Source organism: Homo sapiens, chromosome 3 (genome assembly GCF_000001405.40).
Source record: "Homo sapiens chromosome 3, GRCh38.p14 Primary Assembly".
Lineage (NCBI taxonomy): Eukaryota > Metazoa > Chordata > Mammalia > Primates > Hominidae > Homo > Homo sapiens.
Window position 1 is genome coordinate 34,192,112 of NC_000003.12, and position 23,499 is coordinate 34,215,610.

General features: G+C 40.0%; 1 long non-coding RNA gene across 21 annotated transcripts in view, besides 1 other annotated feature; it reads left to right on the forward strand.

Annotated features, from left to right (window-relative positions):
• LINC01811 (long intergenic non-protein coding RNA 1811) overlaps window positions 1-23,499 on the forward strand; it is a 276,733-nt gene that overhangs the window by 32,748 nt on the left and 220,486 nt on the right. The window lies entirely within an intron of this gene.
• Window positions 6,376-6,485: an enhancer, noted in NCBI's record as "active region_19655". NCBI's record gives its function as "activates an Ori minimal core promoter by ATAC-STARR-seq in GM12878 lymphoblastoid cells {active_cell/tissue: GM12878}" and the evidence as "EXISTENCE:reporter gene assay evidence [ECO:0000049][PMID:35858748]".

Here is a 23,499-nt window from a genome sequence, read left to right on the forward strand (position 1 = left end):
TGACACATAGTAGGTGTTCAAAGATTGTTGCTGATTAAATACTTATGACCTTGTTGTGGGGGGGAATAATATGTGGTTTTTGTACCAAAAAAAAAAAATAATAAATAAATGAATACTTAGGACCAATTGATCTTTGATTTGGGGTAAAGCATATAGAAAAATAAGAGAGGAAAAGATGGAGTTGAACTATAGAACATGGGCAAGAGAGACATTTAAGGATTTTATTATATTCAATTGCTTGGCTGTCTGGGAATTGGTGATTATAAAATATCTGATGTGATTTGACCCAGTGAAAATTGGGCAGGTGAATGAAATTCTATTTGGGAAGATTGGCATTCTTGAGAATTGACAAAAGCTGTATCTTCCATTAGCTTTAGCGTTATTTTGGATCTGATTACATGTGGCTATTAACGCCTGATCCTAACTACTGTAGAACCTAATATCCTCCCAAATGCCATCCTCCACAAATTGCAAAAGTATCTTCTCAGACAAAATCTGAGTTTCTCTCAACCTGCTGAGATGAACTTGCAATTATTTTTTGGCCTGGAGAACGTAACTTTAAGACGCAAATTTGAAAAATGAATTCCAAAGCACCATTATTGTACATGTAGAAGAAATCTTTATTTTGCATATTATTCACCTTGATCTGAATATTTGATATTGCTTGGTTTATGTGGGGTTTATGGTATGTGCTAGGGATTTTTCTCCTTCATAAAGGAGATGGCTCAGCCATCTACTCAAAGTGAGTTTGATTTAAATATCATTATTAGGAAGCTGAATTGGTTCAGAAGATTGTGAGACTCAAAGCAATTGTTCTGCTCAGCTCCCCAAGGACAAAGCAAGGGAACTGAGCCTTGTCCAGGACCATAGAAGGGTGTCAGCTTGGATGACAGGCTGGTGTTAGTGAAACATTTTAAAACATTGTTTACATGAGAATTATTTTTTAAAGAACTGTGGTGTGAATCACACTATTTTCAATCACACTCAGTCTCTTAGGTAGCTGACAAATTTATACACGTTATCAGTGAGATACATGGGTAGGTGGTAATTTTTTTTTTTCTTGTTAACTAAGAACTGGTACCAGGGAGGCCCAGGGTCTAGGTTTCATTTCTATGAGTTAGCTAGCTAAACTTAATTTCCTGGTGTTGATAGCTCCTTAATTTTCACTCTTATACAGTAGTCCCCCCTTATCCATGGTTTCACTTCCTGCAGTTTCAGTTACCTCTGGTCAACCACAGTCTGAAAATATTAGATGGAAAATTCCAGAAATAATTCATAAATTTTAAATTGAATTCCATCCTGAGTAGTGTGATGAAATCTCACACTGTCCTGCCTGGGATGAGAATTATCCCTTTGTCCAGCGTTTCCACACTGTAATGTTGCCTGCCCATTAGCCACTTAGTAGTGGCCTTGGTTATCAGATCAACTGTTGCAATACTGCAATGCTTGTGTTCAAATAACCCTTATTTTACTTGATAATGGCCCCAAAGTGCAAGAGTAGTGATGCTGGCAATTTGGATATACCAAAGAGAAGCTGTAAAGTGAGTGCTTCCTTTAAGTGAAAAGGTGGCCTTGATGTTCCTTGGCTAGGGTTTAGTGCTATCCACAGTTTTAGACATCTGCTGGAGGTCTGGGAGGCCATCCTGTAGGGATAAGGGGGGACTACTATATTTTTATAGCTGTTCTATTTTATTGCTAGTTATTGTTGTTAATATCTTACTGTGTCTAATTTACGAATTACACTTTATCATAGGTGTGTACGTATAGAAAAAAACAGTATAGGGTGTGGTACTATCTGTGGTTTCATGCACCCATTAGGGGCCTTGGAATGTGTCCCCTGCGGATAAGGTGGACTACTATGGTTAATATTCATTTAAACACAGGATACCACTGGATCCTCATGACTGCCCTGTGAAGAAGACAGTGATTCCCATTTCAGAGATGTAGAAACCCAGGCTCAAAGAAGCTAAATAAGTAACTCATGAACACAAAATAGTATGTGACTGTGATTGTCAGTTTTATGTGTCAACTTGTCTGGGTTATAGTCCCCCATTATTCAATCAAACATTAATCTAGGTGGTGTTGTCAAGACATTTTGCAGATGTGGTCAAAGTTCATAATCAGTTTTCTTTAAGCAATGGAAATTACTCTAGATAATCTGGGTAGGCCTGATTCAATCAGTTGAAAGCTCTTAAGGGCAGAATTGAGGCTTCCCAGAAGAAGAAATTCTGCCTTTGGACTGCTTCAGCTTGTGCCTGAAGGTTCAGCTTACTCTTCCTATGGCCTGATCTGTGGATTTTGGACATGCCTAGCCAGTCCCCACAATTGCATAAGCAAATTCCTTGCAATCAGATTTCTTAATATATATCTCCTGCTGGTTCTGTTTCTCTGGTTGAACCCCAGCTAATATACTGACCAAGTGATGCCTCAAATTATAAGAGCAACATTTTATATTTGTATTGAGCTTTACAGTTTACAAACTGCTTTCATAGATACTGTCCTTAAGGCTGTGAATAGGCAAGTTAATCAGTCATCATTTTTGTCGTCACCACTAATATAATCATCGTCTGATATCATCATTGCCGGACACTACCATCATCATCATCGTCATCACCATTTTATATTAATAGCTGAGAAAAAGACTATGCAACCTATAAGAGGCAGATCTGGGACCAAGGACCAGTTTTTCTAACTTCAAATATTATGTGCAAGATTAGCATCTACCTGCATAAAACTTCAAATGCCTTATCCTCCAGGTTTCTTGATGACTTCCAAAAATAATTTCCTTCATTATAGCTTATCAGCACACAGCTTTCTAGCTACCTCACCCATGGCAAATTCTAGACCTTATTATCATCGGTACTCATATCATTTCTAAAATCGCTATTTTAAACATGTATTTAAAAATCTCCAGTTATGACCTCTTCCTGTGGGTTCTTCTTTATCAAAGTTCTGGTTATTTTGAAGTCCTAATTTAAGTGGTCAGTAGTTTGTGTTCATGGTTAAGTGCATCCTATGAACAATGTGTTGTTGTTGTTTTTTTTTTTTTTTTTGAGATAGATTCAAGTCTCACTCTGTCACCCGGGCTGGAGTGCACTGGTGCAATCTCAGCTCGCTGCAACCTCTGCCTCCCAGGTTCAAGCAATTCTCACGCTTCAACCTCCCGAGTAGCTGGGATTACAGACATGCACCACTACTCCTGGCTAGTTTTTACATTTTTAGTAGAGACAGGGTTTTACCATGTTGTCCAGGCTGGTCTCGAACTCCTGGCCTCATGTGATCTGCCTGCATCGGCCTCCCAAAGTGCTGGGATTATAGGTGTAAGCCACTGCACCTGGTCCCTATGGACAATTTTTAATGGAAAATTTTAATTTAGTAACATAAAAATTCATTCTTACTCAATGAATATCTGTCTAGCCACCAAGATTCCAATGTGAATATCTCCTCTATCTCATCATAATGATATAGATGAGACCACATGAGCTATTTTTAAGCAATTATATATATGCGTATATGTATGTACTATATATTGCAGCATGTCAACCGCAGAACATATTTGAAACTGACTCCTTGAAAAAAATTATTAAATCACAAAAACTGAGAATCAAAATCTTGACACTTGTCATAAAGGTAAAGAGGAAAATAACGGCTAACAAAGGATACTTATAGAATATTGATGAGAACTGTCTGAACAACCTCAACTCCAGGCACAATTATAAATTAGGTAAGGATGGTTTGCCGTATCTTGGTGGAAGGCTTAAGAAGTCTGTTGTATATGTTGTATATGTAAATATGTAACCTCTATTTTCTGACATGTAGGGTTTTTTTTTTTTTTTTTTTTTTTTTTTGAGACAGAGTCTCACTCTGTCGCTCAGGCTGGAGTGCAGTGATGTGATCTTGGCTCACTGCAACCTCTGCCTCCCGGGTTCAAGTGATTCTCCTGCCTCAACCTCCTGAATAGCTGGGATTACAGGCGTGCACCACCATGCCTGGCTTGTTTTTGTATTTTTAATAGAGATGGGGTTTCACCATTTTGGTCAGGCTTGTCTTGAACTCCTGGCCTCAAGTGATCAGCCCACCCCCGCCTCCCAAAGTGCTGGGATTATAGGTGTGAGCCCCCTCACCCTGCCCCATGTAGGTAGTTTCATTTTTTAAAAAAAACATTATAGGCCGGGTGCGGTGGCTTACGCCTGTAATCCCAGCGCTTTGGGAGGCCGAGGTGGGAGGATCATGAGGTCAGGAGATCAAGACCATCCTAGCTAACATGGTGAAACCCTGTCTCTACTAAAAATACAAAAAATTAGCCAGACGTGGTGGCGGGCGCCTGTAGTCCCAACTACTTGGGAGGCTGAGGCAGGAGAATGGCGTGAACCCAGGAGGCGGAGCTTGCAGTGAGCCAAGATCGTGCCACTGGACTCCAGCCTGGGCGACAGAGTGAGACTCCATCTCAAAAAAAAAAAAAAAATACGGAAATAGCTAATGAGCACACAAAAACTGTTCAACATAAGAAGTCATTCAAGAAATGCAAATTAAAACCACAAAGAGATCCTAGATCATATTCACCAGAATGGCTAGAATTAAAAACACTTGGCTGGACGTGGTGGCTCACGCCTGTAATCTCAGCACTTTGGGAGGCTGAGGTGGGCAGATCACCTGAGGTCAGGAGTTTAAGACCAGCCTGGCCAACATGGTGAAACCTCGTCTCTACTAAAAATAACAAAAAATTAGCCAGGTGTGGTGGTGGGTGCCTGTAATCCCAGCTACTTGGGAGGCTGAGGCAGGAGAATCGCTCGAACCCAGGAGGTGGAGGTTGCAGTGAGCTGAAATCACTCTACTGTACTCCAGCCTGGTTGACAAGAGCAAGACTCTGTTAAAAAAATAAAATAAAATAAAGACGCGCAATATGGAGTGTGGTTAAAGATGCAGAAACACTGAGACTCTCATACATTGCTGCTGGGGGTATAAAACTGGTAAAACCACTTTGGAAAAGTTTTGGCAGTTCCTTGTAAAGGTAAACATTCACCTATCCCATGACCAAGTAATGCCACCCTTACATATTTACCCAAGAGAAATAAAAACATCTCTACAAAAAGATTTGTTTGAGAATGTTCATAGCAATTTGATTCATAATAGCCAAAAACTGGATACAACCTAAATGCCTATCAATAGCTGAATGGATAAATATTTCTGGTGTATTAATTCAGTGAAATAATGTTAAGCAACAAAAAGGAGAGGACTACTGAAGCATGCCACAGCCTGGGTAAATTTCACACATTATACTGAATAAAAGAGGCCAGACCTAAAACAGTACATACTGTGTGATTTCATTTATGTGACATTCTACAGCAGCAAAACTAATCTACAGTTATAAAAGGCACATGAGTGTTGCCTGGCATCAGAGTTAGGAGGATCATCTTCAAACAGAGTATAGGAACACTTTGCGGGTAATGGAATGTTCTACATCTTGATTGTGGTGTGGTTATGAGAGCAGGATGTGTTAATTTGCCAAAAGTCATCAAACTGCTTAAAATCGGTGCATTTTATTGTGTGTTAACTCTGTCTCATTAAAAATGAATATTGAACACATAAACATAAAAATAAAAAATGCTATAATGAACATCTTTATACTTAAAAAAATTTTTATTCCTTAGGATAATTCCTGAGCCTTTTGCACTTATTTTCTGAAACCACGTGAAATTGTGATAATTTGCTTGATATCAAAAAAGAATATATGAAAATAAATATCTAATTGATAGGATTTCTGGCAGGAACTGAAGTGAAAAATTTGGGCTTAGTTGGGGGAAAATATTTGGGAGTGGGGAGGGGGCTTTCATTCAGACTTTCAAATCTGGGTAAGGCCTGCTCTATTCAAAACATTAGGACTCTCTGAAACAGCTTCTTCCAGCTTACAAGGCTCAAAAGGGACTGGTTTTGTTTTATAAACTCCCAGTCCAAATCTCAGGAAGAGACTGAGCAGCATTTGGTTCCTGTGTGATTCTCAGCCTCTATTTTTACTCTTTTTCCTTCCCTCTGGTCCAGGGAGGAGAAGCCATATGTTGGTAGTAGTAGATTCTTGTGATGTCTCCCATCCTCTCAGCCTATTGGATTCAGCACACCTTGGTGAACCCCTCCATGAACTAGACAACATCACACAAGTGCAGAGAGGGGTGGCTCTCTACTGTCTCCAAAACCACCAAAGGCTACTCAGCTGCATGCAGGCAGAATGTGAAAAGTATGATGGAGTTGATTTCCCTGAGAGCAAACCTCATCTCAACCACTCAGGCCTCCCAATTCCCCAGTGGAACAGTGCTGAGATGAGTTCCATGTGGTTTTATAGCAGGCCCCTAGTACATTGAGCCCTTGTTGCCTACGGTGGTAAACAACTCAGAAATGTCCTCTATACTGGCTTTTCTTCCTTCTCTGTCTTACTTTCACTACTCCCTCAATTTCATATCCTCTCAAATAAACCACCTGCACTCAAGTCCTTGCCTCAGCTCTGCCTTTGGGGGAATCTGAACTCAGCACTCTTGCTGAAGGTGAGCTGTGCTTTAGTCCAGTCTTATTTCCACCTGTTCACCATTCAGTCCTCCACCCTGCAGGGAACACTCCTATTCATCTTTTCAGGCCCTTGGTGGAAACTTCTGTTGTTTACTTAAGTAACCAGTATGAACTCCTCTTTGTCATCCTGTTGCACTTCCCTGTATTGCTCCTCTTATCTCACTGTCTTGAGATTGTTCTCATCTCTGCATCCCCCTGGGATTTCTGAATTAGCATCAAAGGACCCTGGAATTAGCTAGCAGTACATGTAACTGCCCCTAAGCCATGAGCTCCTGTTGGTAGAAACTACAACTTGTTTTTGCATCTCAGTATTTCACAAATTATTGGCATAGAAGACCCAACGGATGATGGTTGAACAGAAGTAAAGTCACTCTGCAGGACAGAGGCACAAGCCCAGAGAAAATTTATTTCCTCCCCATCTTTTCTCCTGGAAGTCCTCCTTCTCATACTGTTCCTGCTCCCTGGCACTGAGCTGAGGTATGCAACGAAACCCATGGAACCTGTCTCTATAATGGAGAGGCATACACCCTTCAGGCCTCTGCACATAGTCAGGCTAGGTCCCTGCAGCACGTCTGGAGGATGGGGTCCCTGAGGCCTGGCTTAATTTAGCTGAGCCACTCCAGGAGGGATAATGATAGCACTGGGAGTCTACTTTTCTGCCCATTCTGTAACATCCTGCTGGCCTGCTTTCTGGGGCTCTTGACTTGGTAGCAGCCAAGAGACCTTTTCAGAGACTTGGGGCCTGATCAAGACCACTGAGCAAATCCTCCTTCCTTTTACCAGTGGAGCAAGCAGAAGAGTGAAGGGGCCTGGAAGAGCAATAGAGCGTCAAGCCACTTGGAGTTCAATTACTGGCCCTGCCATGTAATGACAGAATAAGCTTGGGGTCATCATTTAACTTCTTTAACACTCAATTTTTGTTTCACCAGTGAAAGCAGAACAAGAAAACTTATCATAGCATCATTTTGATGGTTAGATAAACTAACATATTTAGAATGTCTTCCATGGGATTTCAATCTTTTATTGACTATATATATTTTTGGCAGTCTGGTGAAGCCTATGGACCCCTAGAACAATTACTTTTAAACTTATAAAACAAAATATGTGGAATTACAAAAGCAACACTATGATACATTTATCAAAAGGTTTTGGTAAAATAAATGTGTTAGAATGTAATGTTTCTTTGTTCATGTATTAAAAAATAAGAGATCAAGCTGAGGGTCTGATAACTACTATAATTTGAGGTAAAGAAGCACATAAATGATATTTTGATTTACCTGCCAAACTGTAATACTGTACATGGAAATATTTGTCATTTCTATTGTTGACAAAATCACATTGTGGGTTTATAACCTACGTTTGTAAATGAAGAAAATGCCGAATACTTGTTAAAGAAGAGTGAAAATAAAGATGGATTTTATTCCTTCCAAGTTTATGGAACCCTGAACCTCTTGTCTAATGAAAAACACTTGATAATAGCTCATTCCCTTTCTTCTAATTTTCTCTTTCTGATGCCTTCTCTTACATAGTTCTCAAATTCAGACCCAAGGAAAGGGTCTGACATCAGGCATTTGGCCTGTGGGGTGGATAAGTGTATTTCCTTGCTTTCCTTTTCAAGAACTTTCTTCATTGTGGAAAAAATTGAAGGAATTTCAGCATAGGAACAAGGTGGACCTCCCCAGCCCCCAGGCAAAAATCATAAAGGGAGCAGATGAAATACTTTCCCAAACTTCAGGCTGGTCTCAAGGATTGGCTGTCGACTTGATTTCTAACCACTATCCTAGGTGGCTTGGCCTTTCTCCTGAGTGATCAGGGTGCAGAAGCCCAGAGAAATGGGACCCTGCTTCTTTTGGTCCTGCTTTGGTTCCTGCTCTGTTCCTGCTGTACTAGGGTAAAAGCCCATTAAGTGTATCTCTTCCCAACTCTGTTCCATGGTGTCTTATTTGTAACTTGAAACCAGCATGGTGGGAGCATTTACACCATGGAAATTAGCAATGATACACATCGAGGCTTCTCACCTCTAATTAGGGTATTAAAATCTTTCCTGCATCTCAGTGGAAAGCCAGCTGTGAGACATTTGTCAGTGCATCACTGCCTGTACTTTCTGCTTCCTGTTTGGTAATTCTGCTTTGACAAAATTGGTCATGCTTTGTTTACCACTCTCTGGTGCACATTTTTGTATCCCCAGAAAGGGACTTTCTATACTTTTAGTGTACCTTAATTTTGCACTGGAGTCAGCAGAGGACAACAATTTTTCTCTTTACCAAAATCAAAAGAAGGACCTCACTTCCCTGCTTGGTGAGTGAGAGGATTTTCCTTGTTCATGGTTTTCTGTCATTGAGGCTAAACAAGCAGGAGCCATTATAACTTGTGAGAAGAAACCACAAAAAGTACAGGCGATTTAGGATAAATGCATCTGACAGGGGTGTCAAGCAGGACTCAGCAAACTTTCTTTTAAACAGCCAGATAGTACATACTTTAGGCTTTGCAAAAAGACACAAAATGAGGATACTATTTAGGTGCTTATGTAACTGTTTAAAATGTAACCATATAAAAATATTCTTAGCTTATCAACTATGAATAAACAGGGAACTGTTTGGCATTGGTCTGTGGGTTGCAGTTTTCTGACCCCTGTTATGGAAGACTGACTTGGGGGATGAGAAGTAAGGCAAGGTGGTCAGGTAGGAGGCTGGTAGATTAAAAGGACCAGGACTAAGACTTGGCTGGTCACAGTGAGGAGGAAGGAAGGAAGAGGAAGAAGCTAGAGGGAACTTAAATATCTGATTAGATATGATGGATAAATGAAAGATGAAGCAAATGTGATCTGGAGGGCTGGCTGCAATTTGGGATTCACAAACATATTAGGATACTAAAAGCTTTGAAAAATCCTGCAGTAAGTAAAACTATCTGCTCAGTCCAGCGTTTCGCAAAGTTATTTATATATTGTGCCCTTTATTCATGGACTACCTACTAATGCCCCCAGTGAAGTAATGTATCATGGAATGTACTTTAGGTTTCATGGGCTTGCTCTATAATTGTGTAATCCATGTTGTAAAAGTGTGCATTCCTTGAAAAGAAAGTTAACAAATTTAGCATTTGTGTGTGTGTGTGTGTTTTGGGGAGGGTTATAAAATATGAAATACAACTCCTGTGGAAGGTGGTGTATTACAAATTAATGTAATCTTAATGCCTGGAAGAATTATGCAGTGATTCAACAGGCCAGATTGATTTAATAGTTTTTAAATTATAGATATAATTAATGAAAATTGAGAGTGCTAATAGTTGTTTTAAAACTATTTTGCTACAGTAAATTCACATGGCCCTTTAAAACCTTCATTTTCTTTTATATTTTTCTTTTTCTTTTGTTCTTTCTCTTTTTTAAAAATTTTAAGTTCCAGGGTACATGTGCAGGATGTGCAGGTTTATTACATAGGTAAACATGTGCCATGGTGGTTTGCTGCACCTATCAACACATCACCTAGGTATTAAACCAAACATATATTAGCTATTTTTCATAATGCTCTCTTTCCCCCTCCCCTCTCCCCTACAGGCCCCAGTGTGTGTTGTTCTCCTCCCTGTGTCTGTGTTAAAAACCTTCATTTTCAATCTTTTCAGTATGGTTATCTGTCTTTGAATCCTCCTTAACAAAATTAATTGTTCCTTTTTTGTTTAAAAAATTTTTTTTCTAAGATGCTTTTGTTATAGCATACTCCTTTATTTTTAAAAAAGTCCACAGCAATTTCTATATATCTCTCTTTTAGCACATCAGATTGCATTGTATTTATTTGGGTATGCCTATGGTTTGTTGGACTGAGTTAGTGGAAGATACTTATATTTCTTTTCCCAGTCCTTAGCAGAATGTCAGACATATAATATGTTCTCTTGGATGAATAAATCAATAAAAGTTTTGGAAAAGTGACCATTCCAACCTATATCTGAAATACAAATAAAGTTAGATCCTGTATCCCTCAGGGTCCAATCAGGAAAACAGAAACCATACCAGTAATTTTAACAGAAATAATTTAATATAGGGAATTGAATTGCTAAACAGGTGTTTGGAAAACTGTAACTGCAGAAAGATATAGAAACTACAGGAAATATCTTTCACCATTAGAGCAGGGGAGCAAAGGGTAGAGTGGATGAGTAGAACCTAGAAGCTTGGATAAAGGGCTCCATAAAGTTGAGAACAAGACCATGGAGCAGGAGGTGCCACCTGGCTGGTGCTGGTGTCTCTGCTGGGACTCCAGTGAAGCTGATTCTGGAAATACGGAGAAAAAAAAAGACGTAGACCCAAATGCTGCTGCTAGGGTGAAGAACCATTGCTGAGGGGATATTGACAGACACAGAAAGCAAACAGCAAGGGGCAAATCCCTTTGCTATCCTCTAGGTTTGCAGTCTTCCTCTAATACCCTTTATTGGCAGAGCCTAACAGGAAACCAGATGGCAAAGGAGAAATTTTGCTTGTGGAGTCCAGCCTCCAAATCATATAACAGAGAACAGGAGGGTGGGCGGTGCTAAGATAAAGTAGCTTAATAACCAGCCTAGTTCCCAACGTACGTGTATGGTCAATTTCCAAGTGGCCTGACTCTGGATGACTCAAGAGGGCTTTTCCTTCTCTCAGGAGCTACAATAGTCACAGGTATATTTTTGAGTCTTTCCTTTTTTTCTTAGACAGCAGAAGCTGTTCATTTTAGTAGAGAATATCATGGTTTTAATTACATTTCTCTTACAACTCAGGTTTAAATAAAGAGGAAAGATATTTTGGCGAAGAGCAAAACTATTTGGCAACTTGTTCTAAAGGGTTTTTCAGAGTCCCTAGATTCAGCTGTTTCTAATCCTGTGATTATATGCTTCAATTTTCCATTTTAAGTACCAGAGATTAAATGGTAACTCCTTTATTGCTGATGGCGGTGTTTAGTGGACAGCTTGGGGATGACAGGGCTGTGTGCAGAATCCAGATGCAGGAGGAACAACAGGAAAGGGGCACTCCGACCTTCCAATGGCCCTGTCTCCTGAGGGGGGTAAGGTGAGGTTTCAGTTTAGATGTCCTACTCGTCACTGCAGAATCAGTTTTTTCTTTTCCTTTCTTTTAACAGATGAAACAGTTCCAATGTGGAAGTCTGACTTGGGGCAATATGTGTAGTGTGAGGAAAGAAGATGATAGCTGGTTTTGAATCCAGCTCAGTCACTTGCTAGCTGGGTGGCCCTGAATGGTCACTTCACTTGACTCTTCACTTTATCATTGACAATAACTGTACTTGTCCTGCCCTTTTATTTGGCTCACTCTGAGGATCAAAAATATATGGCTAAATATGAAAACATATTGCAAAGAGTAAAATGAATAAAAACAAGGAATCAATAATGATCAGTTTACTTGGTTTTTAACTCATAGAAGTGCAAAAGAAATACACTATCCCCAACAATTCCTTTCTGTTATAGAAAAGTTACAGTGTGTACCTTCCTGGGCTTATGTTGCACATTTACTTCCATACAAATGTTTACCTCTAAAGTTATTATCAATATAGCTCTCAATGTGGAAGTGAAAATAAACCCAGGAAAAATATCTTTGTTTCCCAGGCCTATTCAGTTTTCATTATTTATTATTTGCAGTTTTTCTTGAGGCCAAAATGGAGTAGAAATCTCTAAAAATTTAGTTTGAATCTAGAGTCAACCTAGTTACAGCGGTAATAGCATTTATTATGTGCTTATGTGTGCTGGAAACTTTTTAAAGCACCTATACTGTGTGGCTCCTTAAAATAACCCTATGAGGTAGATTTTATTTTTATTGTCATTAATATGAAGAAATGAAGCATAATGAAACTTGCCTAAGGTTATAGATAGCAAATAATGGAGTGGGGGTTTGAACCCACATAACGTGATTCCTAAGTCTGAACCTTTAGCTACTCTATTATATTCAAGAAACACTCCTTGTTTAATCATTTGTATAAAGTTGTCTCTCAATGGCTTTTATTTGTTCACATAGAAATATTATTAAGCAAATACAAAGTGCTGGATGGGGTTCTAAGCATTCTCTATGCATTATCTTACCTTAATTCTCACCAAATTTTATTCTTAGAAACTAAAGTTCAGTTAATTTAAGCAAATTGCTCAAGCAGGTTCACACTTTTAACAAGTACTGAAGCTGATATTTTAGTTCAAGTCTACATGACTTTAAAATCTCTTAAAGCAGTAAAGTCACATATCTCTTTGCTAATATATATTCTTCCTGTTTCTCATGGACGCATCCCTCAAATTTCTCCAAACCTCAATGTAAAGCTCATAACAATGGCAGAGCTGAAATAAAGCTAAATGAAGATCAGAAATCATGCAGTGTCAGCAGTAGGAATATATACTAGGAATCTGGAGTGAGGGGTAATGAAATGGAGCTTAATGCTCAAACTTTGAAATTCTTAGAAGACAAGACAGAAAAAGGGAAATCTAGTGGTTTGTCTAGTTGTTATTGTCAGATGAAAATATGTAGACCGTTACACAGAAGACACAAACTTTCTCTAGCATACAAAGCCAAGAGAAATTTATCATGAGAAGTCTTATATTTGGACAACAGTTACAGTATATAGGGAATTTCTGCCATAAACAGCATGGTGTAAATGAATACTTGGTGAAAGATACCAATTAGAATTTATATCATATGTGAGACAGACAAGGCATTTCCAAAGTATATTTGAAGGAGAATGTGTTGTATTTATCTCTGACATCCTTATCAGAACTCACATTCTAGTGAAACAGATCAATTAATGTCATCGGATCTGTCATAATAACATGGGAAAATGGGTTTACCAACCTCATAGAAACACCTGGCTGGGCGCGGTGACTCACGCCTGTAAATCTTAGCGCTTTGGGAGGCCGAGATGGGCGGATCACGAGGTCAGGAGATGGAGACCATCCTGGCTAACACGGTGAAACCCCGTCTCTACTAAAAATACAAAAAGTTAGCTGGGCGTGGTGGCGGGCGCCTGTAGTCCCAACTGCTCAGGAGGCTGAGGCAGGAGAATGGCGTGAACCCAGGAGGCGGAGCTGGCAGTGAGCTGAGATTGCGCCACTGCACTCTAGCCTGGGTGACAGAGCGAGACTCCGTCTCAAAAAAAAAAAAAAAAAAAGAAACAACTGCATGTATGTGCCAAGAACCAATTGCTTACTTCTTGAAATACTAGAGTAAAAATTTTACAACAAAGTTAAAATTTGTTGAACTTCAACTTAATGGATGGTCTCTCTTTCCTTCTTGCAAGATCTGACTGAGGTCTAAGCCTTGCTCATTAATTTATTCATTTAGCATTTAATTTGGTCCCATATTAGTTAAGGGTGGCCTCAGGCTTGACTAGCACCAGGTAAATGAAAAAAGGAACAAAAGCTTGATCCAGAACCCAGTGGATATCAATGGCTTGCAGTGCTGTCATGGACTTCATGTGCTACTAAGTCAGCTGAGCCCTTACTTGTTAGTGTTGTGCTGGAATAGACAGAAAGTAATTGTAAATCATCCAGGAAGTGAGAAAAAGAGATACAATCAGGAGACAAGTCTGAATCTCTGAGATAGACTGCTAATGTCTCAAGGCCACTGAGACAATGATGCCTAGAACTGGGCTTATAACAGCATAACATTCTTGAGCTTGGGACAGCGGCACTTTAGCAAACTATGATCTCTCTCACTTAGTCTGGATATTTAAAATTCCTCATGTGGCATCACTTGATGGATAAAATTGCAAATAAGCAAGTTAAGGATAAATTGAGAGGCCCATTAGATCCTGGCCATGGATACAGATGTATAATCGTGGCCAGGATCTAGGGTTTTGCTCAAATCTGACATCTGTATATCTAAGTCGGTTGGTCCATTCACACATCCATCCACCCACCCACCCACCCACCCACCCATCCATCTAACAGAATTACATCCACTGACTCCCAAATTAAACCTAGTTAAATAGTAATAGAAAGGAAAACTAAATTTATTTATTTATTTTTATTGAGGAGTTTGGCTTTTGTCACCTAGGCTGGAGTGCAGTGGCGTGATCTTGGCTCACTGCAACCTCTGACTCCCAGATTCAAGCAATTCTCCTGCCTCTGCCTCCCAAGTTGCTGGGATTACAGGTGTGCACCACCACGCCCAGCTAATTTTTATATTTTTAGTAGAGACGGGCTTTCGACATGTTGGTCAGGCTGGTCTTGAACTCCTGACCTCAGGTGATCTGCCCGCCTCGACCTCCCAAAGTGCTGGGATTACAGGTGTGAGCCACTGTGCCCGGCCAATTTATTTACTTTATAGTAATAAAAGGAATGCACTAGAAATGACATAAAACATAAATAAACTATGCATTCATTATAACTACAATGAACATTTTATTAAAGCATTCTATGTGCCAGTTGCTTTAGTAAGAGCTAGGGAGGGTATAAAGATGAGTAATATGTGGTCCTCACTTTTTAGAACTTGAAGTCTAGTAGCAAGTATTTATGTTCACCTCTCTGACCTCGTGTCCTATACTCCTCCCTTCACTCATTCCAATCTAGAGACATTGTTTTCCTTCCTTTTCCTGAGACATACCAAGCATTTCTTGCCTCAGAGCCATTGTACTTGCATTCTCTCTGCCCAGAACGTTATTTTCCCAGATATGGGCAGTTAACTTCCACAATTCCTTCAGCTCTCTGCTTAAATGTCACAAGCTCAGTGAGGCCTTCTTTGAGTATTGTATGTATGATAGCAAACACCTCTCATCACTGGAACTCTGTGTCCCCACAATTTTCAATTATTTTTCTCCCTAATCACCATTATATATTATATATTCAGTGTGTGTATTTTTATATATATATATACTGTAATATATGTTGTATATATTTACTTCTTTTTTTGTTTATTATTTGTCTCACCCAAATCCCAACTAGAATATATATTCCATGAAAGGAGGGGACTGTTTTGCTCAGTACTCTATTGCTGTGTCCAGAAAAGAAGCTCAGTGAATAGTAGGTGCTCCACAAATATTGTTAAATGAATAATACAAGAAAGAAAAATAATACCGCTAATAACATAAATGACTTGCAGTGGAGAAAGAATATTTAATTTGGTTAGAGGACATGGCTTAGGAATCCTTGAATAAAAAGTTATTGCTTTACTTTGAAAAATAAAGTCCACATATATAGGACAGTTACATGGCTGACTTCCAAGGGAGATTTATCCAGCATTTCAGGAATGAAGGTGCCAGTTAGATGTGATGAATGACCATATGATGCCTGGAAATTTTTCCATTACCCTTTGAAATTTTTCTCCTTTTTTGGTTGTCTGGGACCATGTGGAAACAAATGGGTTTGACCTCATTTCCAGAACTGCTTGGGAAGATCTGTTCCTGCTAACCATGAACTAAATCTTCACTAGTGGCCTGTCTGTGCTTGATTCGGTGTTTTTATCCTTACAACCCTGACTACTGATGGGACTCAAGAGAAACACTGAGTATTTTCCTTGTCACAAAAGCCATCACTCATTAGAGTCTGGGAACAGGGAAGAACTCTAATATCCACTGCAATGGCTCAGTGGAACTAGGACTGCCAAAGAAAACAGGTGTTCAATGACTACTGGAACAAGTTTGAGACAGAAAATCCAAGCTGTGCATGGGCCCATGTGACCACTTTCCTTGTTGTGACTGTGGGTATCAGACAGGTAAATGATGACTCTCTGGCAGCCAGGAAAGATCCTTTGGGGCAGCTTTTTATTTCTGCATTCGTTGAAATAATAATTATTCATTCAGCATCTGACTTGTGCAAGGCTCAGAGAATGACCCAGTTTTGATCTAAACAGAGGATATCTCTAGTAAGTTTATGGACTCACCTAAGGTCCAGTAAGACTTCTCTTGAAGATTATGTTAATCAAGTAGCATTATTTGCAGGAAGGAGAAACTCATTCAAGCAAATTTCAGTAAAAGAAAGGAAATGGGGGAAATTTTCCAAAATACAAAGGCAGGAGCTGCAAAAATAGCAGCTCAGTATATGTTTTTCTACCAGGTGCTGTGCTCCCTTGACATCTACCTCAGTGTCTTCTTTCTTTCCTTGGACCTGCTTTCTCCAACACTCAGTGTTTCAGGCCTAAAAAGGCCCTTTCAGACCTCGCAGGATAGCATGCTCAAGGATCTGTATTCAAAGACCAACCTGTGTGTTCTATCCCAAACTCTTGGAAGAAAGAACCTGATTGGCCCAGCTCTTATTTGGGGTCCCCTTACATTCAATATGATATAACAAGGGGGTGGAATCCTGTGCCCTTTGCCCATTCAGCAGGTGTGTGGGAGGTGACTCTCTCAGGAGGTTGAATAGGGTTAGAAAGACGGCATGACTATATCTCTAATGTAGACCTAAAGTGCTTCCTAGAGCTAGGGACCAGGATTCTAAATGAGACCTGAGGGAATGGAGCTGTTGTTGACAAGAGCTGTTAGACAAACAGGACATGGAGGAGGGTAAGTTCAGATACCAAGAAGGAAGCCTGTATACAAAAGCAGATGTGATGGGAAGAACTGAGGCAGGTGACACTAACCAGGGACTTGCAATCAGACAAAAGACCATTCACCCTTCAAGACATTGAATCGTACACTACATGGGGCTGTCCTTGAGGGGAGGAGTGGTTAGTTTGTTCATCATCCAGCATCTAGCACAGTGCCTGGGACATGGTAGGTGTTTGAAACATGGTTGTTGACAGAATGAATAAATGAATGAGTGAATGAGGATACTTGAAGTAGTATCACTTCCTCTATGAAACGTTTAAAATCCTTCTTCCAACAAAGCCAGAATTCCCTCCTTTGTGCTCCCATTAGCTAACCATATTTTATGGTCATTGGCAGATGACAAATAAACCCCCACTACACTGATTGAAGTTTTAAAAATAGAAAGTGAGTTCTAATAATCCTAGAATTTCCAGCTTCAACCACAGTGCCTGGTTATGTAGGAGCTGCTTGATAATTGGCTATGTAATAAATATATCATAATAGTCAGGCCTTTTAATGACTCTGACCCAAACATTTGCTTTTTTTATTAAAAACTTGATATATTTATTTATGTTTTCTAATTATGAAGCAATATTATGTGAACTATAGTTGTAAGAAATAAGGAAAATTTAAAAAGATCATTCATAAATTTGTGTTTCAGTGCATTTATCCTTTTGGAGAGAAAATTATAATACAAACACATATACTCATATATATAAAATGAACATTTTCCCATATCAATAATTACTCTTCAAATCTTGTTTTTCAATACCTATGAAATATTTTATGACTACAAAATATTTCATCATATATATTAAAATCTTGGACATATAGGCTATTTCCAAATATTACAAATATTTTCTTATGATAATTTTCTTACACATGAAACTTTGTGCTTTTCTCTAGGTACAAAGTAAAATTACATGATTAAAAGGCATGGACACCAGGGCTCTTGATTATTATTGCTGGTACCTCTAAGGAGGGTAAATAATTCACTTGACACCAGTTGTGTTTGGTCATGCCCGTATCCCCACATTATCACCATTAGATGGAACTATAATTTAGAAGATGTGAATTTGATCAGTGACTCCACTTACTTAGAACAGGGCAAGAACTGTGGCTTGCCCTGGAAGCAGCGTCACTTGCTGACAGCATGAGGGCTGTAGCCGGGGAGAGATGAAAACAACACATTTCATGTTCTCAAGTAGTTTAGAGTCCTGGGTTTAGCAACATTTTATAAACACTTCATTTTAAAGCAAAGAAGAATAAAATAACCCTCAATACTAGACAGTCAGCAGGAAGATAGGCACAGGCTGCTTGTCTGCAGGAGGCCTTGGACATGGGTCATTTCTCACGGTGCTATTGAAAGGAGATAAGACAGGCCTTTATGGATACTTCAGCCTGGTGTGATGTTAGAGGTGGGAGGCAGTTGCCCTGTTCATTGATGACTGGGGCATCTTTGGAAATTCATCAGATGTCAAGAGTGACAGATGAGGACTTGGATAACTGGAAGGCCACTTGACTCTGCAGAACCTTATACTGTGGGGTTCCTGACAGTGCTTAGGAGTGATGGGCAGCTCAGGCATCCTGGCCAGATACAATGAAGCCCAGGGCCTGGGCTGCCTCAGGGGTGACTCAAGGAGCTCCAGTGGGGAGTGAATAGGAAACATCAGGCTACGACTTAAAGTGGAAGCAGGGCTGGGCAGGAATTTCTTGGGAGGCGGATGGTCATTTTTACAGCATTAGGGGTAGAAGCCGTCTCTGTGAGAAGAGACTAAAGATAAAGAGACTAATAGATTAACATTAGTCCTAGAGAGGAATAGACTCCTAGACTTGTATCTTATCTTCTCTCTCTCCCTATTTCAGATTTGTCCCATCTTTTCTGTACTCACTCTAATGTCCAAAAACTTAATTTATTAGGTAGAACAATTGAGTTATCTTAATTTCCTTGTCTTCTTATGCACCAAACTTTTGGGGTTTCCATTTCTCCGGTCAGTGCAGTCTAGCAAAGTATTTTCCTTAAGCAAAAATTATTTTCTCATAAGAAGATACTTGGTTCCAGCTATTAAAATGAGTTTGTAAAATCTTGAATAATGGAGATCATGGCCTATATCAGATTCTCAACAGACAATAGATTTACTCAGGCCCCTTGGCCCCAGATTTGTGTTGACCCCCTCCTTCCTCCTTGTGGAGGGCAGAGAGTTCCTTTGAACTATGTGGTAGCTTAGGCCAGGTGGTTCTTAAAGATCCTTTATTTGGGCACCAAGGGCACAAACTCTTCCCAAGATATGATAGGTCTGGTCCAGCTTTTGGAAGGGAGGTTGCCCCTGAGAGAAATGTCTAGGCTCAGCCACTGTCCCTGTACAGAGTGGGAGTTCAGAGCACCTCTCGCTACAAAAACTCAGCCACTGTAGTACACGACACCAGCGCCTCTCAGTGGGGCAAGAAACTGCTGAGTGTCTAGGATGGATGTGACCAAGACTTCCCACCTTGTCCCCTTATCCCTTGTTTAGTTACTTCCTGTCTTGCAAGTAAGACAGGGGTGAAAGAGACTCTCCTGGTCTAATAAGGAGCTGCTGGAGAAGAAACTGAGGGATTGTTGGGCCATAGCCCACTAGAGAGTGTTAGCGATTCATATTCCCTTTTCTTCCTGGGTCCTGGGTGGATTTCCCTGCACACGTGGGAATTTCAGTCTATTGCTATAGAACACAATTCTGAGCTGCAAGTGAGAGAAAGCTGAAAGACATGTCTTGACTGCAATGTGTGAAAGGCTGGGATGATTCCTGCCACCCCACATTCTACGTAAAAGGGAAAAGGCGCATAAATTTATTAACTATTATGTGCTTAGAACTATAAACTGGAGTGGATGCCATTGGTATTCCACCCAGACATCCTCAGATCTTTTACCATGCCTATTCCCACTTCGCCCAGCTTCAGTGAGCATTTGCTCCCAAATAGCCCCGTGCAACTGTTCTTTGGAGGCCTGTGCTCTGGCTGTTGGAGTTGCTTTACCCACATATGCAGAGAATTTAAAGTTCTTACAAGTTTAGTTTTCCCTTCTAGATGCCCCGGGAAGCTTTTAGCTAGTGACTGATAGATGCAAGAATATGAATGCCCAGCTCTTTTGCCTCCAGTAGAAAACTCTGAGGCTTGACTTACACACCAGAGCTGCCCTGCCAGGTCAGGCTGAGGCCACTCTTCGTGGGACTTTCCCTGAGATCACAGCCTTCCTGTGTTGACTTCCTCCTCTTCCCTCTCCTGCTTCACACACACCCCTACTGGTCCCCCTGGAAGCATATTTTAAAATAAATTACTTGTATATGAATCATGAGTCCTGGTCTTGAGTTCTACTTCTGAGGAAGCTGATCTAAATTTTCCCACTCTCATTTGCATTTCATATAAACCTTGTGAAGTGTTATTATCCCCCTTTTGCAGATGAAGAAACTGAGGCTCAAAAGGTAATAATGTATCTGTAGCTTGTGACTTAAATCCAGCTATGTCTGACTCCAATGCACTGAATTCCCCGAAAAACAATCAGCATTTACATGAAGTTAGCCAGTGGTTTCAGAATTTCAGGTTCTTTTTCAAGGTTATGTAGACAGTTGTCTCCTGAACTGAATCACAGGAATTAAGAAAGTCTGGACTCTCAGACCTAACTACCTCCTACGTGTATCAGCGCTCTACTTCAAGAGTCTGTTTTTGCCTGTGGCTCTGTACAAGTCAGTAAGCTCTTCCGGGACCCAAGCCATGTGCAACTAATTGCAAAATCTCCAGAGCCTATTGTGGTACTTGGCACATAATAGGCTCTCAAACAAATGTACTTTCAATTAAACAACCAGCCACAGGGCAGTTTCCTTCACAAAAAGTCCACTCTGGATAAATAAATTAAGTCAAAATTAAGGGATTTTCTAAGTCCTTAAGAAGAATTGCCATACCTTGAGTTAGTCTAGTACCTATATTACAGCTTAATGCAAAGACTCCAAGCCAATGTTCTCTCTATTTAGTGTCTATCCTCTGATTTATCCTTTCCAGCAACATTAACTAATTCTATCATAAGGTTTTTACCCTTGATTCATTTTCAGATGATATACATATTTTAAGGCCCTAGTGACATCAACTCTAATTCTGGGGAATTATGAATTCCTCTTCCTAATTTTCTATGCAGAAGTCTTCCACTAAAATCAAGCCTGATCATTATATTGGACATCAAACATGAGTAATGCTCAGGATAGGATTTAACCACTTTTGGGGTCAAATGATGGCATTATTATTGTTTAAACTGTGGATCAATATTATAACCTCTTGTATTTTTCCGTTGATGCTGCTAGCATATTTTCCTTGCTGTGCTTTTATCAACTCTCAGTGTACCGACCCAGATAATAATTCAGACAAATATTATGGCCCACAGTTCCTGGAATTTTTTTCTTTTGAAAGCTATGTAGGTGGACTTTGTGATTATGTAAGCATAAAGCTAATGGGATTGGCGGGAGCCCCAGCTGAGAGCAGGCAGGTGCTGGACAATCTTCTCTCAGCCTTGCTCTGCTAATGTCTCCCTGGGTGTAGGCTGGCCTCGTGCTGCTTCTGTTATGCAGCACAACAAGATAACTGCCTGCTGTGCCCTGTCATGTCTTAGTTTCCAACTGTAACTGAGAAATATGGGGACTTACTTGGACTCCAGCAGCTTTTAAAGTTATAACTACAGAGGCAGCTCGTATCTAGAATCAGAGCTTGTAAGTTTGGTTTGTGAGACTTCTGTGGTAATAAATGGATTGAGCTAGATGCTTATGATGTTAACCCCAAAGCTTTATAGAAAATAGTGCTGGGGCATATATATCAGTTATCTATTGCTGCATAACAAACTACCTCAAAACTTGTAATCCCAGCACTTTGGGAGGCCAAGGTGGGCAGATCACGAGGTCAGGAGTTCGAGACTAGCCTGGCCAACATGGTGAAACACTGTATCTACTAAAAATACAAAAGTTAGCTGGGCGTGGTGGCACACACCTGTAATCCCAGCTACTTGGGAGGCCGAGGCAGGAGAATTGCTGGAACCTGGTTGGCAGAGGTTTCAGTGAGCTGGGATCGCACCACTATACTCCAGCCGGGGTAACACAGTGAGACTCTGTCTCAAAAAAAAAAAAAAAAAAAAAAAGCATTGTTACTTTCTCATGATTCTGAGGGTCTGAAATTTGTACAGGGCACAGTCGGGATAAATATCTCTGTTTCACTTGGTGCCTGTTGGGGCTGGAATGCCCAAATCAGTTTCTTCACTCATGCTTGATACCATGGTTCAAATGGCTGGGGGTGGCTGAAATAGCTCAACTAGGATAACTAGGATCAGAGGTTTGGCCTTGCTGTTGACTGCTTTCCTTCATATAGTTTCAGGGTGTCTCTCTCTCTCTCTCTATATATATATATAGAGAGAGAGAGAGTTTATACTCTGTCTCTGTGTATATATATATGTATATACACACACATACGTATATATGTATATGTCCACATATATCTCTCTATATATGTATATGTCCGTGTGTGTGTGTGTGTGTGTGTGTGTGTGTGTGTGTGTGTGTGTATGTCCTGGTCTTGAGTTCTACTTCTGAGGAAGCTGATCTAAATCATCCTATTCTCATTTGCATTTCATAAAAACCTTGTGAAGTAAAGTAATACATATAGTCTTTCCAGCAGAGTAGTCAGACTTCTTATTTGAGATCTCAGAGATTACAAGAGTGTAAAATCAGAAATTGTTATGCAGCAATAGATAACTGATATACATGTCCCGGCACTATTTTCTATGGCTTCTTAAAACCTAGGCTTAGAAGAGACACTGCCACTGCAGTTTTACTGACTCAAATCATAGATCAGTTGAGATTCAAAGGGAGGGAACTCTGTAAGACGTGAATAATGGAGGTGTGATTTTTCAAAATCCACTGATGTAATAACCACTACAGCAGGGTTTATAGACATGGGAAACACAGAATAGCAGAGTCTACTGGGGATTGGGAAGTGCCTAGGGTTATCAAGAGAAAATATAGGGTACTAAGGTAAATTTGAATTTCAGATGAATAACGAATAATTTTTAGTGCAAATATGTCTCATGCAAGTCTGCATAGCATGTAATATTTCGGACTTAGTTATACTTAAACATGGTTATTTATCTGAAATTCAAATTTAATTGGGAGTTCTATATTTTTGTTTACTGTATCTGGCAAACCTAGATGAGAGACTTGTGAATAGCACCAGGGGCCAGGTCCTACAAGCTGTTTATTGTTCTAGTCACAAGGTTGTTTAGGTCAAGTGAGGACCAGGGCATGAGAATGGAGAGACAGAGGGCAGACTTTCAAAGCCAGTGAGAACAAGTGGGCTGAGCAGGAGGCCTGAACATCCAGGTGGTGTTCCAAAGTGGCTGAGATTGTGACATGGGACTCAGACAGACCAGAGAACGATTCTCAACTCTGCACAACTGTACTGA